The sequence below is a fragment of the Homo sapiens genome, chromosome 22, assembly GCF_000001405.40.
Source record: "Homo sapiens chromosome 22, GRCh38.p14 Primary Assembly".
NCBI lineage: Eukaryota > Metazoa > Chordata > Mammalia > Primates > Hominidae > Homo > Homo sapiens.
Window position 1 is genome coordinate 41,491,695 of NC_000022.11, and position 18,606 is coordinate 41,510,300.

The following is an 18,606-nucleotide window of genomic DNA, read 5'->3' on the forward strand; positions in this document are numbered from 1 at the left end:
GTATAACACATGTGGAGTGCTTTTATTATGAATAGGCCATATGCCAAGCACTTTATGTAGATGATTTCATTTTTATCAATGCTGTGAAGTTTATCTTCATTTTATTTATGGCAAAACTAAGATGTGGGGAGCTTAAATAACTTCCCCAGGGTCACAGCAGTTAAGTGGTGGAGCTGGGTTGGGCAATCTGACTATAGTTCTTCAATCCGAACTACCACACTGTTCTGGGAAAGGAGGGGCCATATGAGGTGAGAGGGACTGGCCGAGATTCTAGAGGTAGCAGGATCTAGAAGAAGTGATCCATCACAGAAGGAGAGACCTGAGCTTGCATCCTGGAGTCAACTGCATACCAGCTATCGAATTCTGACTTACCTCCCTGATCTCCAGTTTCCACATCTGTGAGATGGGAATAAGTTACTTGCACTGTTATATTGGGAATTCAAAATAGGCACAGAAAGTGCTTGGCATGGAACAGATGCTTAATTAGTAATTTTTAATTTTTATTCTAAAAGCAGGGTAAATACCCAAAGCTAGTCTTTTATTTATTTATTTAACATATGAGAGATATGTGGTCCATGAATGAATGATATGTGGTGTCTTAGTCCATTTTGTGTTGCTATAACAGAATATCACATACTGGGTAATTTATAAAGGAATTTAGGCCGGGCGTAGTGGCTCATGCCTGTAATCCCTGCACTTTGGGAGGCCGAGGCAGGCGGATCACCTGAGGTCAGGAGTTTGAGACCAGCCTGGCCAACATGATGAAACCCCGTCTCTACTAAAAATACAAAAAATTAGGCCAGGCGCAGTGGCTTATGCATATAATCCGAATACTTTGAGAGGCAGAGGCAGGCAGATCACCTGAGTTTGGGAGTTAAAGACCAGCCTGACCAACATGGTGAAACCCCGTCTTTACTAAAAATACAAAATTAGCTGGGTGTGCTGGTGCATGCCTGTAATCCCAGTTACTCGGGAGGCTGAGGCAGGAGACTCGCTTGAACCTGGGAGGCAGAGGTTACCGTGAGCCGAGATCACGCCATTGCACTCCAGCCTGGGCAACAAGAGCTAAACTCCATCTCAAAAAAAATAAAAAAAGAAAATTAGCCAGGCGTCATGGCAGGCGCCTGTAATCCCAGCTACTCAGGAGGCTGAGGCGGAAGAATATCTTGAACCTGGGAGGCGGAGGTTGCAGTGAGACGAGATAGCGCCACTGTACTCCAACCTGGGCAACAAATGTGAAACTCCGTCTCAAAAAAAGAAAAGAAAAGAAAAGGAATTTATTTCTTACAGTTCTGGAGGATGGGAAGTCCGAGATTGAGGGGCTGCATCTGGTGAGGGCCATCATGCTGTGTCATCACTTAGCAGAAGGCGTAAGGGCAAGAGAGAGGGGAGGAAGGGGGCCGGATTTATCCCTTTATCAGGAACCGACTCGCATGACAACTAACCCACTTCTGTAATAACAGCATTAATCCGGTCATGAGGGTAGCGCCCTTCTGACCTAATCGCCTCTTAAAGGCCCCACCTCTCAACACTGACATTGGGCATTGAGTTGCCAACACATAAACTTTGGGGGACACATTCAAACCACAACACATGGTGGCCTTGCCCTTGAAGTTAGTCTACAGGGTAAGCATATTTCTTGCCCATGTGTAGAGAATGAAATTAAAAAAAAAAAATACAGGGTAAGCATGTTGATATGGCCCCCTCTTTTAACAGTTTCCATGTGACATTTCATGCACTACAGCCTCTCACTGCTCTGAAGCCAGGAGTCAAGCTGAGATTTCCCCTGAGGACTGGAGAAGATAGGTGAACTGGCAAAGACTGAAAGTCTAGCTGTCTTTTACTTTTTTGTTGCAATGAGCAGATAGACTAGTGAGAATGAGTGTTTCATCCTTACTAATTTATAAACCTAAGCTGTTCAATCTGGCAATTTAAAATTCAGTGACATAAGAAATTCCATTCCTTGGCTGGGTGCGGTGGCTCATCCCTGTAATCCTAGCACTTTGGGAGGCCGAGATGTGAGGATCTCTTGAGTCCAGGAGTTCGAGACCATCCTGGGCAACATGTTGTAAAAAATAAAAAGGCCAGGCGCGGTGGCTCACACCTGTAATCCCAGCACTTTGGGAGGCTGAGGCAGGCAGATCATCTGAGGTCAGGAGTTCGAGACCAGTCTGACCAATATGGCAAAACCTCCTCTCTACTAAAAGTACAAAAATTAGCCAGGTGTGGTGGCACATGCCTGTAATCCCAGCTACTTGGGAGGTGGAGACAGGAGAATTGCTTGAACCCTGGAGACAGAGGTTGCAGTGAGCTGAGATCACACCAGACAGCACAGATCTAGAACATGTTCATCAGGACAGGAAGTCCTCTTGGACAGCACTGGATGTTGGGAACAGACACTTTCACATAGTTGGAAAGCAGAACGGCACAGTGATTAAGGGTGAAATGTGTAGCTGATTTCATTTGTGTTTAACACTGTGAAGTGTATCTCCATTAAGCACGGAGGTTTAAGGAGTTAAATGACTTGTCTGGGGCAACAGCAGGCACGTGGGTCACTCAGGCTGGATTTGGATCCCGCCTGAGATAATCATAGGAGCCGCTTCACTGGGTGGCTGTGAAGATTAGGCCATGTAATATATTCCAGGTGCGTCACACTGTGCTTGTCTCATATTAGAGACATCATAGTCTTTCTTTACCCATAAGTTGTATTCTGTATCTTTTTTTTTTTTTTTTTGAGTCAGAGTTTCGCTCTTGTTGCCTAGGCTGGAGTGCAATGGCGTGATGTCGGCTCACTGCAACCTCCACTTCCCGGGTTCAAGCGATTCTCCTGCCTCAGCCTCCTGAGTAGCTGGGATTACAGTCGTACGCCACCATGTCCGGCTAATATTGTATATTTAGTGGAGATGGGGTTTCACCACGTTGGTCAGGCTGGTCTTGAACTCCTGACCTCAAGTGATCCGCCTACCTCGGCCTCCCAAAGTACTGGGATTACAGGCGTGAGCCACTGCGCCAGGCTGTATTCTGTATCAACATATGATTTTGTCCTTTTTGTTTTTTGAGACAGAGTCTCACTCTGTCACCCAGGCTGGAGTGCAATGGCGGGATCTCGGCTCACTGCAACCTCTGCCTCCTGGGTTCAAGCAATTCTCCTGCCTCAGCCTCCCGAGTAGCTGGGATTACAGGCGTCTGCCACCACACCCTGCTAATTTTTGTATTTTTAATAGAGATGGGGTTTTACCATGTTGGCCAGGCTGGTCTCGAACTCCTGACCTCAGGTGATCCACTCGCCTCAGCCTCTCAAAGTGCTGGAATTATAGGCGTGAGTCTCCACGCCCAGCCTGTTTTGTTTTGAGGCAAGGTCTTGCTCTGTTGCCCAGGCTGGAGTGCAGTGGTGAGTTCATAGCTCACTGCAGTCTGGAACTCATGGGCTCAAGTGACCCTCCTGCCTCAGCCTCTTGAGCAGCTGGGACTATAGGTGTATGCCACCATGCTCAGCTAATTTATGTTTTATTTTATTTTGTAGAAACAAGGCCTTGCTGTCTTGCCCAGGCTGGTCTTGAACTCCTGGGCTCAATTGATCCTCCTGCCTCAGCCTCCCAAAGTGTTGGGATTACAGGTGTGAGCCACTGTGCCTGGCCTGTTTTGTCCTTGACAGGTCTTGCTATGTTGGCCGGGTTGGTCTTGAATTCCCGGTCTCAAGCAATCTTCCTGTGTCCGAAAGTGCTAGGATTACAGGCATGAGCCACCGCTCCTGGCCCAGCATTATTTCTTAAGCCCATCTACGTATTGATAAGTAGTCTGTAGTTTGCTTAACCGTGCCCTGGCTGTTGGGAATTGGGGCTTTGCCTTTTCCCGGTACTATAGATAAGATTACAATGTATTGTCTTGCCTACTGACCAGGCAATAGGTATTGTTACAGTTATTTTTATTTCTTTTTTTTTTTTGAGACTGAGTCTTGCTCTGTCGTCCAGGCTGGAGTGCAGTGATGTGATCTCGGCTCACTGCAAGCTCCACCTCCTGGGTTCATGCCGTTCTCCTGCCTCAGCCTCCCGAGTAGCTGGGGCTACAGGCGCCCGCCACCACGCCGTAGTAGAGACGGGGTTTCACCGTGTTAGCCAGGACTGTCTCCATCTCCTGACCTCGTGATCCACCCACCTCGGCCTCCCAAAGTGCTGGGATTACAGGCGTGAGCCACCGCGCTCAGCCACAGTTGTTTTTATTTCTAAGGAAACTGAAACTTAGGGCAATTAATTTGTAAAAATAAAGAAACAGGTTGGTAATTTCACATTGGAAAGCTGTCTGAGATTTGTTAGTAAGTGAAAAAGATGAGTTGCAGGCCAGGTGTGGTGGCTCACACCTGTAATCCCAGCACTCTGGGAGGCCAAGGTGGGTGGATCACTTGAGGTCAGGAGTTTGAGACCAGCCTGGGCAACGTGGTGAAACCCCATCTCCACCAAGAAAGTACAAAAATTAACCAGGTGTGGTAGTGCACGCCTGTAGTGCCCAGCTACTTGGGGGACTGAGGCAGGAGAATTGCTTGAACCTGGGAGGCAGAAGTTGCCGTGAGCTGAGATCGTGCCACTACACTCCAGCCTGGGCGATGAGAGCAAGACCCTGTCTCAAAAAAAAAGTAAAAGAAGAAGAGTTGCAGAACAACTTGTATGGTTTCTCATTTGTGTGTAGAACATGGTGGGGGTAGCTGTGTGTACACTTAGGAACGCACAGGGTAATAATCATGGAAACGTACTCAGTACTTTATATAATCCCTCCAGATCCTCACAATAGCTCTGTGAAGAAATGATTGCTTGGAGAGGTTAAATTGTCCAGGATCAGTAAGTTGTGGGGCCATCCTTAAACCCAGGGCTCTGCTACTCCATCTACCCCATGCACTGGGCTCCTCCACCCGTCACAGGGATAGCGTTTATCACTGCAGCAGAAATACACTACCTTCTTCCTATGCACACGCACTGTGGAAGGTCCTTTGATGTCATGTCATTGGTGGGTTCTTTGCACCTACCCAGTGAGGCAGGCAGTGAGGAGCCATCAGTCAGGTTTGAGCTTGAGGGCAAATGGATGTGAAGTCTGGACTGGGGATGTTGCCCCTGCCATAGGTTAGAATGGGTGATGGTCAGGGGTGCTGTTTCAGAATGTGGCCTGTTCTTACTGCTGGGTGACTCGAACAGGGAATGGCTGCTCTGGGTACATACTGGGTTCAGGTGCTGAGATTGACAGCGTTTGGATTATATATCCAGGTGACATACAGAAGGGAGCCTGGGGCAGTGGCTTCAGCTTTGCCTCTTCCCTTACCCAAGGTATGACGAGGAACACCAACCACCTAGAAGGGAAGCAGCTCTTCCCTTCTTGCTGTCATTTCTTTTTTCTTTTTTTTTTCGAGACGGAGTTTCGCTCTGTCACCCAGGCTGGAGTGAAGTGGGGTGATCTTGGCTCACTGCAACCTCTGCCCCCTGGGTTCAAGCAATTCTCCTGCCTCAGCCTCCTGAGTAGCTGGGATTATAGGTGCCCGCCACCATGCCCAGCTAATTTTTGTGTTTTTAGTAGAGACAGGGTTTCACCACGTTGGCCAGGCTGGTTTCAAATTGCTGACCTCAGGCGATCCACCTGCCTCAGCCTCCCAAAGTGCTGGGATTACAGGTGTGAACCACTGCACCCGGCCTCTTGCTGTCATTTCTTTGGATTCATTTATTCTTCTCTGGTAACAAGGTACCCTTGAAGGTTGTTATTCATAGTTTAAGATTAACTAATACAGGCCCGGTACAGCGGCTCATGCCTGTAATCTCTGCTTTGGGAGGCTGAGGCGGGAGGATTGCTTGAGGCCAGGAGTTTGAAATCAGCCTGGGCAATGTAGTGAGACCCTATCACTACAAAAAATAAACCTAAAAGAATTAGGGTGGGCGCAGTGGCTCACGCCTGTAATCCTAGCACTTTGGGAGGCCGAGGCAGGTGGATCACCTGAGGTCAGGAGTTCAAGACTAGCCTGACCAATATGTAGAAACTGCATCTCTACTAAAAATACAAAAATTAGCAAAGTGTGGCGGCGTGTGCCTGTAGTCCCAGCTACTTGGGAGGCTGAGACAGGAGAGTTACTTGAACCCGTGAGGTGGAGGTTGCAGTGAGCCAAGATCATGCCACTGCACTTCAACCTGGGCAACAGAGCAAGACTCCCTTTAAAAAAAAATAAAAAAAATATTGGGAGGCCGAGGCAGGCGGATCACGAGTTCAAGAGATCGAGAACATCCTGGCCAACATGGTGAAACCCTGTCTCTATTAAAAATACAAAAATTAGCTGGGCATGGTGGTGGGTGCCTGTAGTCCCAGCTACGCGGGAGGCTGAGGCAGGAGAAGTGCTTGAACCCGGGAGGCGGAGGTTGCAGTGAGCTGAGATCGCTCCACTGCATTCTAGCCTGGCGACAGAGCAAGAATCCATCTCAAAAATAAGTAAATAAACAAATAATTGGGTGTAGTAGTGTGCGCCTGTAGTCCCAGCTACCGAGGAGGCTAAGATGGGAGGATCATTTGAAGTCAGGAGTTTCAGACTGCAGGGAAGTATGATCTTGCCCCTGCACTCCAGCCTGGACAACAGAACAAGACACTATCTCTTAAAAAAAAAAAATTAACTAATACAGATCCCACCATAACAATCATTTATTTATTGCTGTGTAACAAATTGCCCCCAAACTTAAAGGCTTAAAACAACAACAAGCATTTATCTCATATTTTTGTGGGCCAGGAATTTGGGAGTGGCTTGGCTGGGTGGTTCTGGCTTGGGGCCTCTCCAGAAGTTGCAGTGAAGATGTCAGCCGGGGCTAGCCATCTGACGGGTTGAACCGGGGCTGGAGCATTCGCTTGCAAGATGGCTCACTCACACCTGGCAAGGTGGTGCTGGTTATTGGCAAGAGGCCCCTGTTCCTGTCTAGGTGGGCCTCTCCCAGGATTGCTTAACAATATGGGGACTGTCTTCCCCCAGAGCAATCCAAGAGAGAGAGCAAGCCAGGCAGAAGCTGTTCTTCTTATGACCTAGTCTCAAAGTCCAATAGCATCCCTTGTCACATTCTATAAAGTAGAAGTAAGTCCGCCACACATTCAAAGGGAGGGTAATGGCTGGGCACGGTGGCTCATGCCTGTAATCCCAGCACTTTGGGAGGCCGAGGCAGATGGATCACTTGAGGTCAGGAGTTTGAGACCAGCCTGGCCAACGTGGTGAAACCCCGTCTCTACTAAAAATACAAAAATTAGACAGGCATGGTGGTGCGTGCCTGTAATCCCAGCTACTGGGAAGCTGAGGCAGGAGAAATTGAAGCTTGAACCCAGGAGGCGGCGGTATCAGTGAGCCGAGATCCCACCACTGCACTCCCACCTGGGCGGCAAGACTCCGTCTCAAAAAAAAAAAAAAAAGGAAGGGAATTAGGCACCACCTTTTGAAGGGATGAGGAAACATCCAAAGCTCACGCACAGGGTTTTCCTCATTCATTCTTCCCTCTGACCCATGGATATTTGTTGAATCTCCAGTATGTGCCAGGTAGTCCAGACATAGAGATGAGTAAGATAAATAAGGCTTGATCTCAACCCTCAAGAAGCTTATAGTGCAGGTAGACTAATAGCTATGGTTTGGATAGTGTTTTACAGCTTAATGAGCACTTTCACTTATGGTCTTATTTAACCTTCCCAGTACCCCGTGTGATCACCAGAGCTGGTTATATCCCTATTTTCTATCTCCTCTGGGTTTTAGTCAATGAGGGCTTTTCTTACATTGATACACCTTACATGATAGAACTTGACTTTGATCCCAGCGATTTTTGTCTATAAATCCCTTGCACTTTTTTCCTACCCCAGGCTGTGTTCCTTGTGGCTGCTTTGTCATCCCTGTCCTGCAGATGAGGAAGCTGAGGCTGCAGTTACTGAACAGCTCTTGACACTTTAATTCCTGGATTTTTTTCACCATACTGAGCTGCCCTCGGGGATGGACTCTCCTAAGTGCTCCATTGACAGTGGCTGTCATGTTTCTTCTTGCAGAAAGCTCTGGGTGTGCGGCAGTACCATGTGGCCTCAGTCCTGTGCCAACGGGCCAAGGTGGCGATGAGCCACTTTGAGCCCAACGAGTACATCCATTATGACCTGCTAGAGAAGAACATTAACATTGTTCGCAAACGGTAAGGCTGCAGATGGGAGGCTGTGACTGTCAAGGGCATTGCGTCTGCTGCCTGCCCGTCAGGCAGAGAAGGAGGTGTTTTGTGAAGGATGCTTGGTGATAGTGGCAGGGTCAAGGTATTCAAGGTACAAAGGTTTCTGCTGAGGAAAGGCATTCCAGATCAGTGGTGTAACTTCTGTCCTCTCTGCCAAGGGAGAATCTGTGTTATCAAGAAGCCTCTAGATGTGAACCACAGCCAGGTCTCTGAGACACTTTGGCACTATAACCTGAACCTCCCAACCTTTTCAGGGCAGGCTGCTGACCCTCGGCCTGCCCTCTGGAAGCCACCAGGCCCAGTGCCTGGAGAATCATCTTCTATTTCCTCTTCAGTGCACAGGCACAGAGGAGAGCTCAGGTCTGAGACCCAGAAGATAAACTAAGATGGGACCTTTTTAATTTAATTTTATTTTATTTTATTTTATTTTATTTATATATATTTGAGGCAGAGTATATATATATTTATATATATAAAATAAAAATATATATAAATATATATATATTTGAGGCATAGTCTCGCCCTGTTGCCCAGACTGGATTGCAGTGGTGCAATCTTGGCTCACTGCAACCTCTGTCTCCCCAGTTGGAACGATTCTTGTGCCTCAGCTTCCTGAGTAGCTGCAATTACAGGCACCTGCCACCACACCCGGCTGATTTTTGTAGTTTTAGTAGAGATGGGGTTTTGCCATGTTGCCCAGGCTGGTCTCGAATTCCTGAGCTCAAGCAATCAGCTTGCCTCGGCTTCCCAAAGTCCTGGGATTATAGACGTAAGCCACTGCGCCTGGCCTATTTTATTTTATGATTTTATGTTATGTTATTTTATTTTTTGAGACAGTCTCACTCTGGTCCAGGCTGGAGTACAGTGGTGCAGTCTCGGCTCACTGCAACCTCCGCCCCCCAGGTTCCAGCAATTCTCATGCCTCAGCCTCCCGAGTAGCTGGGACTACAGGGACGCACCACGATGCCTGGCTAATTTTTTGTATTTTTGTGGAGATGGGGTTTCATCATGTTGGCCAGGCTGGCCTCAAACTCCTGACCTCAGGTGATCCACCTGCCTCAGCTTCCCAAAGTGCTGGGATTACAAGTGTGAGCCACTGTGCCCAGCTGGGACTATTTTTTTTTTTGAGACAGGGTCTCACTCTCTTGCCCACACTGGAGTGTAGTGGCACGATCACAGCTCACTGCAACCTCAATCTCTTGGGTTTGAGTGATCCTCCCACCTCAGCCTCCTGAGTACCTGGGACCACAGGCGTGAGCCACCATGCTCACCTACTTTTTTTATTTTTTGTAGAGATGGGGTATCGCCACATTGCCACTGATCTCGAACTCCTGGGCTCAAAACTGTTCTCCCACCGTGGTCTCCCAAAGTGCTGGGATTACAGGCGCGAGCCATGGTGCCTGGCCTAAGGTGGGATCTTGAGCATGTCTTTTTTCTGGACCTCATTTTCCTCACTTGGTAAAATGGCAGTCAGCTCTGCCCTGCTGTCCTGTGTGCCAGGTCCTGGGTTAGATGCTGCCACCAAAAGGATGAATAAGGTACCACAGAGGATGAGGAGTCGGGGCTGGCAATGCACACCAGCCTGCACTGCCACACTTCCACCTTGCTCTTCATCAGGCATGAAGGAGAGCTGTCATAGAAGTTTGCTTTGATTGATTGGAACCTGAACAACTGCAGATGGGGCTGTGCCCTTGCCTGCCTGGTGGCTTCTTTGATACTGACAGTGGTGATCCTGGGAGAGAACAAATCTGAGTCTACCCGCTGGGTAGCTGAGGCTCAGCTGGAGAAGGAACCTGCCCACAACCATGCAGTGCATGAGTGGTGGTGTCTCGTCTTTGTACCCTCTAGTACTCTAACCACTACCCCATACTCCCTTTCTCATGCCACTTTGCTTTCTATCTACTGGTATCCCCACTTCGGTTTTAAGGGTAGGGACTTCCTTAATCTGGATCTCCAGCCTCCAGCACAGCATCATCTAATTATAGTAAAGGACCTATTGTTTGTCAAGGACGGCTGTGACAGGAGTACCCACCTTGTTGTCCAGTCTGGCCTGGGTACTTGACACACATTATTTCTGTTCTCAACAACCCCTGTAGGTTGTTGCTTTCCATCTCTGCCCCCCACCATTCTGCAGGTAACAAAATTGAAAGTCAGGTTGGGGAAATACCCTAAGGCCATACATGTATTGAGTGACTGACCCCACACTCAAGCCTGGGTCTCTGTGACTCCAGGGCTTGTTCTTGTGGGTTTCTTCTGGGCTCCATGTTAGAATCACCTGGGAAGCTTTAAAAATGACGGACACCTGGGCCCCACTCCCAGCAATTCTGATTCAAGTGATCTAGGCATTGCTATTCAAAATGTGGTCCATGGGCCAGCAGCATTGGCATCACCTAGGAGCTTGTTAGAATTCCAGCATCTTAGACCCCACTCCAGACCCACTGAGTCAGAACCGGCCATTTAACAGGATCCCCAAGGGACTTACGTGCCTGTCAAAATGTGAGAAGCACTGGCCCGTTCCCCAGCAGGTCCCATAGTGCAGTCAGGACGAAGAACCACTGTCCCTGTCAATATAGGACGTTGTATTTATTCTTGGAGCTCTCACACCGCTGCTCAGTGGAAAAGTGATAGATTTTTCTTTACTCTGTAAAACACTTCCACCTTGCTTTCATCAGGTATGAAGGAGAGCTGTCATAGAGATTTGTTTTGTTGTTGTTTGTGTTTGTTTCTGTTTTAGACTGAGCCTCACTCTGTCACCCAGGCTGGAGTGCAGTTGTGCAATCTCGGCTCACTGCAACCTCCACCTCCCAGGCTCAAGCGATTGTCCTGCCTCAGCCTCCTGAGTAGCTGGGATTACAGGCGTGCATCACCATGCCCAGGTAATTTTTGTATTTTTAGTAAAGATGGGGGTTTCACCATGTTGGCCAGGCTGGTCTCGAACTCCTGACCTCAAGTGATCCACCTGTCTCAGCCTCCCAAAGTGCTGGGATTACAGGTGTGAGCCACTGCGCCTGGCCTTTTTTTTTTTAATTAATAAAAAAATTTTAAAGATGGGCTGCCCAAGCTGGTCTTGAACTCCTAGGCTCAAGTGATCCCCCTGCCTTTGGCCTCCCAAAGTGTTGGGATTACAGGCCTGAGCCACTGTGCCCAGCAAGAGGTTCGCTTTGAGATAACTTGACAACAGAGTATTATTCACTATTTAGTTTTTGCATTAAACAATTAATAACAACAACAAAATACCCTTTAAGGCACTGGGAGTTTTTTAGTTTTAATTTTATCATTAAAATTGACAACTACAACAATATTTTTCCTTGCTTACTTTTATTCCAACCTTGCTTTGCAACCAGAAAAGTCCAATAAATTTTTTTCTTTTTTTTTTTAAAGTCCAATAACTTTGAACATTTTCCAGATTAGTACAGACGAGGGGATTGTTCTCTGTTTTCTTTTTTTTTGAAACGGAGTCTCGCTCTGTCGCCCAGGCTGGCTGGAGTACAGTGGAACGATCTCGGCTCACTGCAACCTCTGCCTCCCAAGTTCAAGTGATTCTCCTGCCTCAGCCTCCCGAGTAGCTGGGATTACAGGCGCCTGCCACCACGCCCAGCTAATTTTTGTATTTTTAGTAGAGAAGGGGTTTCACCATGTTAGCCGGGATGGTCTCAATCTCCTGACCTTGTGATCCACCCGCCTCAGTCTCCCAAAGTGCTGAGGTGACAGGTGTGAGCCACCACACCTGGTCTGTTCTCTGTTTTCATTGTTGCCACAGAGCAGGTCTCAACAAGGTGGGGGGTGGTCAGTTTTGTCCCTAGGGCCCATTTGGTGATGTCTAGAGATATTTTTGGTTGTCATAACTTGGCTGGGGTTGGGGCTTACTGTTACCCAATGGGTAACCAGGAATACTACCAAGCATCCTACAGCGCACAGGGCAGCCCCACAACAAAAGAATTCTGCGGCCCAAATAGGTTCATAGTGCCCTGGCTGAGAAACCCTGACACGGAGAAAGAGGGCAGAGGTGAGGTTATGCTAAAAAGAATTATATTCTAGCCGGGTATGGTAGCCCACGCCTGTAATCCCGGCACTTTGGGAGGCCGAGGCAGGCGGATCACTTAAGGCCAGGAGTTTGAGACCAGCCTGGCCAACATGGTGAAACACTGTGTCTACTAAAAATACAAAAAAATTAGTCAGGCATGGTGGCGAGCGCCTGTAATCCCGGCCACTCGGGAGGCTGAGGCAGGAGAGCCGCTTGAACCCAGGAGGTGGATGTTGCAGTGAGCTGAGACCACACCACAGCACTCCAGCCAGAGTGGTGTCTCTGGTGACAGAGGAAGAGACTCTGGCTCAAAAAATAAAAATAAAGCGTTCTATTCTAAGAATTTTTTAGAAGGCCAGGGGACTTGCTGGGCGACTTCTCTTCCACCTTGTGTCTCCAACAGAAGGGGTCTAAGTCTGTTCTTGAGAACTGGATCTGTGTCATCTGGAGAGCAGAGGGACAGATGGATATGAAGACCCATTTTGTCATCCTCAGTTAATCCTCAGGGACATTCAATGATGAACCCATCCTAAAGCTTCAGCATTGCTGAGCTTTTTTATATAGCTTCAATCATTTGCTTCCAAGGTCTTGGGTTTTTAAGCCCATGTGCTATTTTTTGTCTCCCTCGGGGCCCAGAAGGAGGGGCTGTGAGTCATTGCCCGTACACCAGCCTTGGCGGTGCTGCCGCAATCGGCGCAGGCTGTACCTCAGGCTAGTGCTGTTTTTATTCATAGAGATGCTCAGAGTTGCCAGTTGGTCTGCTGTTGCCAGCAGATCCAGCACCTTAGGGACTTTTTTTTTTTTTTTTTTTTTTTTTTTTTTGAGGTAGGGTCTTGCTCTGTTACCCAGGCTGGAGTGCAGTGGTTCGATCATGGCTTACTGCAGCCTTGACCTTCTGGGGTCAATCCATCCTCCCACCTCAGCCTTCCCAGTATCTGGGACTATAGGCACATGCCACCATGCCTGGCTTCTTTTTATGTTTTTTGTACAGGTGGAGTTGCCCAGGCTAGTCTCAAAACGCCTGGACTCAAGTGATCTGTCTGCCTCGGCCTCCTAAAGTGCTAGGATGACAATCGTGAGCCACCACACCCAGCTGGGAACTCTTACTTTGAAGAGGTTGGGTAAACTTGGGGGTGAGGGACTGGAACCCAGCTTGCAGAAGGAAGTTTCTCTGCCATCTCACTATGCATATTGATGATAACAGTAATGATAACTGAGAAAGGATGAGGTGGCTCACACCTGTAATCCCAGCTCTTCGGGAAGATCATGTGAGCCTAGGAGTTCAAGACCAGCCTGGTCAATACAGTGAAAACCCATTTCTACAAAAATAAAATAAATAAATAAATAAAATTAGCCAATGTGGTGGTGCGTGCCTATAATCCCAGTTACTCAGAGGCTGAGGTGGGAGGATCGCTTGAGCCTGAAAGGTTGAGGCTGCAGTGAGCTACAATTGTGCCACTACACTCCAGCCTGGGTGACAGAGCAAGACCCTGTCTCAAAATAATAACAATAATAATAATAATAATAATAATAATGAAAATGGAACATTCACCATGTGCTGGCCCTATTCCAGATTCCAGGTGTGGAGAGACCGGGTAGATTAGCGTCAGGAGCACAGCCGTAGGGCCACACTGCTGCCTCTTCGTGGTCCAGCTGTACCCCTCACTGGCTTCGTGGTCTGGAGCAAAGCTACTCTGTCCCTCTGTGCTGCAGCTTCCTCATCTGTGCTGTGAGGATAAAATGAGTTTTATACATGAAAATACTTAAGATAATGCTGAGCTGAAAGTAAATGCTACGATAACGCTGGTCTCTAGTGACAGAAAGCCAATCAGTAGTGGCAAAGGGGCGGGAGGGAGTTAACCAAGGGGTGGGGAAACTTGAAGGAGAGATGGTCAGTATCTTGATTGTGGTGCTGGTTTCACAGGTGTATACAGTGTCAAAACTTAGCAAATTGTGTACCTTAAATATGCAGTTTATTGTATGCCAATTATACCTCTGTTTAAAGCTGTTTAAAAATGAAAGGCTATAGAAGTGGAAGCTGTTATCTCATCCCAGTGCAAGCCCTGGTATTTAGAGATGGGCTGGCTGAGCTGAGGAGAGCAGTTGCTTATCTTGTTAAATAGTGGTTTCAGTAATAGGTCAGGTTTGGGCTTTTTTGTTTTTTTTTTGTTTGTTTGTTTTTATTAGAGACAGCATGTCACTCTGTTGCTCAAGCTGGAGTGCAGTGATGTGATCAGGGCTCACTGCAGCCTTGATCTCCTGGGCTTAAGTGATCCTCCCGCCTCAGCCTCCTGCGTAGTTGGGACTACAGGCACGCATCACCCTGTCTGGCTCATTCTTTTTTTTTTTTTGAGATAGAGTCTTGCTCTATTGCCCAGGCTGGAGTGCAGTGGCGCTATCTCAGCTCACTGCAAGCTCCGCCTCCCGGGTTCACGCCATTCTCCTGCCTCAGCCTCCCGAGTAGCTGGGACTACAGGCGCCCGCCACCACGCCTGGCTAATTTTTTTGTATTTTTAGTAGAGACAGTGTTTCACCATGTTAGCCAGGATGGTCTCCATCTCCTGACCTCATGATCCGCCTGTCTCGGCCTCCCAAAGTGCTGAGATTACAGGCATGAGCCACCGCACCCGGCCTCATTCTGTTTTTTATAGAGACAAGGTCTCACTCTGTTGTCCAGGCTGATCTTGAACTGGCCTCAAGCGATCCTCCTGCTTTGGTCTCCCAAAATGCTAGGATTACAGGCGTGAGCCACCACACCAGGCCCCCAGGTCAGGGTTAAACTCAGAGCTTCTGACTCCCAGTCTGAAACTTTTTTCTTGGCCTCAAACAATAGGACAGAGCCTGTCAGGTGTGGGTTGAACTCTGCTCCTCCTTAGGAAGGAAGTCTCAAGCTTGGCCTAAGCTTTGAGAATTCTGGGGGGCAGAGCGTGAGGTCTGAAAGGGGCTGTTGTGGCAGGCAGGGCGGCCACAACAGCCCCTTTGCTCTGTTGTGTGGGTGCAGCCGGGAGTCAGCCGGAACGTTGAGCCTGGCAGGGAGAGTGGACCCGCGCAGAGCTCAGTCTAGATGGCTGGGAGGCTTGTGGGGAGAAGACGGTTGAGTCCTGACAGGGCCGGACCCCAGGGCAGGTTTGGACTGCCATTTTGGCTCTGATGAGGAAGGGAGGGGTGGGGCCTCCGGGGAAATGGGGTCTAGGAGGAGGAGGAGCTGTGAGAGGCCAGTGGCAGTGACCCGGTCTCTGTTCTTGAAAACTGACAGATACTCCTGTCTATGTCTGGAGCTAATGGGCAAAGTCTTAGTGTCATAGTTGGGTAGCCAGGCATCCCAGGCCTGAGGTGTGGAGGGTTGTAGATGGCGGACAGGGTGGACAGGTGAAGGGGATGCTGGTCCTGATTCCCTGTGCCTTAGTGGGGCTGAGGGCACAGAGGGAAGTAGCGAAATCTAGCTGTGAACTTGGTCACTCTCCTGAGCCTGTTTCTTGGTTGTTGTTAAATGGCTTTCTTGGTTGTTGTTGTTGTTAAATGGCAGGAATGATGAGATATGCATGTTGCGGGGACTTAGTAGGAATTACGATGCTGGGAAAGCCAGGATCCTTTGAAAAGAACCAGCGCTGCCCTCTTGTGATGTTGTCATTCACTTACTCATCAAGTAATTGTGGAGCACCTAACAAGTGCCAGGTGCTGCAGGAGGTGAGGAGGTGGTGCAGTGAACAGGACCCAGCAGTCCCCACCCAAGTGGAACGTTGAGGTCCTGAGTTCAGACTCCCTGTCCCTGGCCACTGTTGAGGTTGCCACATGGACTGAGAGGGAGAGGCAGGGCGGGAGGAGGCCGTGCAGCTAGCACCAGGCCACCCTTCTGCTCTTCTCCCCACAGACTGAACCGGCCGCTGACACTCTCGGAGAAGATTGTGTATGGACACCTGGATGACCCCGCCAGCCAGGAAATTGAGCGAGGCAAGTCGTACCTGCGGCTGCGGCCGGACCGTGTGGCCATGCAGGATGCGACGGCCCAGATGGCCATGCTCCAGTTCATCAGCAGCGGGCTGTCCAAGGTGGCTGTGCCATCCACCATCCACTGTGACCATCTGATTGAAGCCCAGGTTGGGGGCGAGAAAGACCTGCGCCGGGCCAAGGTGAGCAGAAGGTGGCTTTGGGGGTGGGCAAGTGGGCAAGACTGGGCGAGAGGCCTCACCCTCACACTGGAGCAAACCAGGGCATTGCCTCCAAATTCTCACACCTCTTTGGATTGGTCTGCTTTTAAAACTTGATTTTACTTGTTTCTCTTTCTAAAAATAGCACTTGCTCATTATGTTAAAAAATACAGAGGAAGCCTAAAGAAAGAAAAAATCATCCTTGACCTTACCACACTGCAGGTCCTTTTTCTGTCCTGTTGGAGGATGATGTGGATCCTGCCAGGTGCTCTGGAAGGGGCCATGCAGGCCTCCCTGTCTGCCTGAGCAGTGAGGGGTGCATCTTAGCATAGTTTGCCAGCATCCCATTTGCACCCACTCCCGCTCTCCTCTGACCCTCCAAGGACCCTCTCCGGGAGGTAGGCGTGCTAGGGTCACTATTTGTAAATTTGAGGCGGCAGTGGCATCATACTTGAGTTCTGTAACTACATGAGGGCACGATTAGGGCTCAATGCTGATCCTGGCTCCCACTCTGGTGCTCTGTCACTGAGGAGCCTCCTTTGGGGGCCATTCTTCTGTGAGTTTTGCTTAACTACATGGGGGTGGCTGTATGCCATGCTGAAGGCTTTTCCCCCACCCTTCTATGAAATCGAGTTCCTGCTCCTTCTCCCAGGCTCGGCTTGTGGGACCTTTGTGTCAGCCTGCTCTTGGCAACAGCGGGCCTCTCTCTCCCAGCTCTGGGCCTCCCCACTCTCCAGCCCCTGCAGTGGGAGTGGGTCCCCCTCACGGGGAGGGGCGTTGGCAGGAGCTGAATGCTGGCAGGGCTGCGGCCTGTGGGCATGTGATTGAAAGTGCTCCAGCTCCCAGGGTCAGCATGGCTCAAAGCCTCCCAGCCCCATGGGAAACACTCGGGGCGGCGCTCTCACTCAGACCCTCTCTTCCACCCTGGCCCCCTGGTGGTATCCTGGCTCCACAGTGGCTCTTTCCCCTCAGCTGAAAGGACAGTCCTGCCTGCCGGCCGGCGGTTTCCACATTAGCAACAACACTGGTGGGGGTAATAATGTTACAGGAGCTCCCACAGTGCCGGGAACTGCACATGGCCGGGAACGTGGGTCCTCTGCAGCCCTGGGGACAGCTGCCCACAACAGGGCTGCTACCTTCTGGGGCTGGCTTTCTGCTTGCTTTATGGGCTCAGAGTGAATCTTCTGGAGATGAGATGCACACTCATAGCATTCAGAGCTCATTCCCTCATGCGTTCAACAAATTGAACATTCTTTATGTGCCAGGCACTGGGCTAGGTACTGAGGTTCAGTGTGAACAAGTCAGGCAGGGGCCCTGCCTTCAGGGATCTGCTTGTGGGTGTGGACACTAAACAATGGCCGAGGTAGGTAACTGCAGATCTGGGTATGTGTTAGGAAGGGAAAGTGCGGGACTTGGTCAGTATAAAAAAGAGGTCTAATTTAGATGCTGGGGGAAAGAGAGAGCTTCTTTGAGGATGTGACAGATAACCTGAGGACTGAACATATGAGTTGCATTGACTGGAGGAAGAACATGCTAGAAAGAACAGCATTTGCAAAGACCCTGAGCCAGGAAGAAACTTGATGCTTTTGTGGAAGTGAGAGGGGGCCTGTACTGCTGGAGTTCTCTGTGTTTGGAAGAGCGGGTGGTATGAGGTGGGCAGGGGCAGCCAGGAACGCGAGGGCTGTGGGAACGCTATGGTCACCATCCTCAGAGTCCTAGAACAGTTTAAGCGGAGAAAGAATATGGTCTTTTTTTTTTTTTTTTTTTTGAGACAGAGTCTTGCTCTATCCCCCAGGCTGGAGTGCAGTGACACACAATCTCGGCTCACTGCAATCTCGGCTCACTGCAACCTCCGCCTCCTGGGTTCAAGCGATTCTCATGCCTCAGCCTCCCGAGTAGCTGGGATTACAGGCACCCACCACCATACCTGGCTAATTTTTGTATTTTTACTAGAGACAGGGTTTCACCACGTTGGCCAGGCTGGTTTCAAACTCCTGACCTCAGGTGATCCACCCACCTCGGCCTCCCAAAGTGCTGGGATTATAGGTGTGAGCCACCACGCCCGGCCTAGAATGTGGTCATTATTACGTGTATTTGTAAAGTGTCCCTCTGGCTAGGGCTCAGAGGCAGTGACCTGTCTAGGGTCACAGAACCAGAGATGGATCCAGGCTGAGTCCAGGCCGAGACTCTGGCACCAGTCTGGGGTCCTCCCACACCCCTTCCTCACACTTAA

General features: G+C 49.4%; 1 protein-coding gene across 1 annotated transcript in view; it reads left to right on the forward strand.

The window, feature by feature from the left end:
* Positions 1-18,606, forward strand: part of ACO2 (aconitase 2) — a 59,858-nt gene that overhangs the window by 22,578 nt on the left and 18,674 nt on the right. The window contains exons 2-3 of the mRNA NM_001098.3: positions 8,032-8,168; positions 16,097-16,355. Coding sequence (NP_001089.1) covers positions 8,032-8,168; positions 16,097-16,355 — 396 coding nt within the window. The remainder of the gene's footprint in view (positions 1-8,031; positions 8,169-16,096; positions 16,356-18,606) is intronic.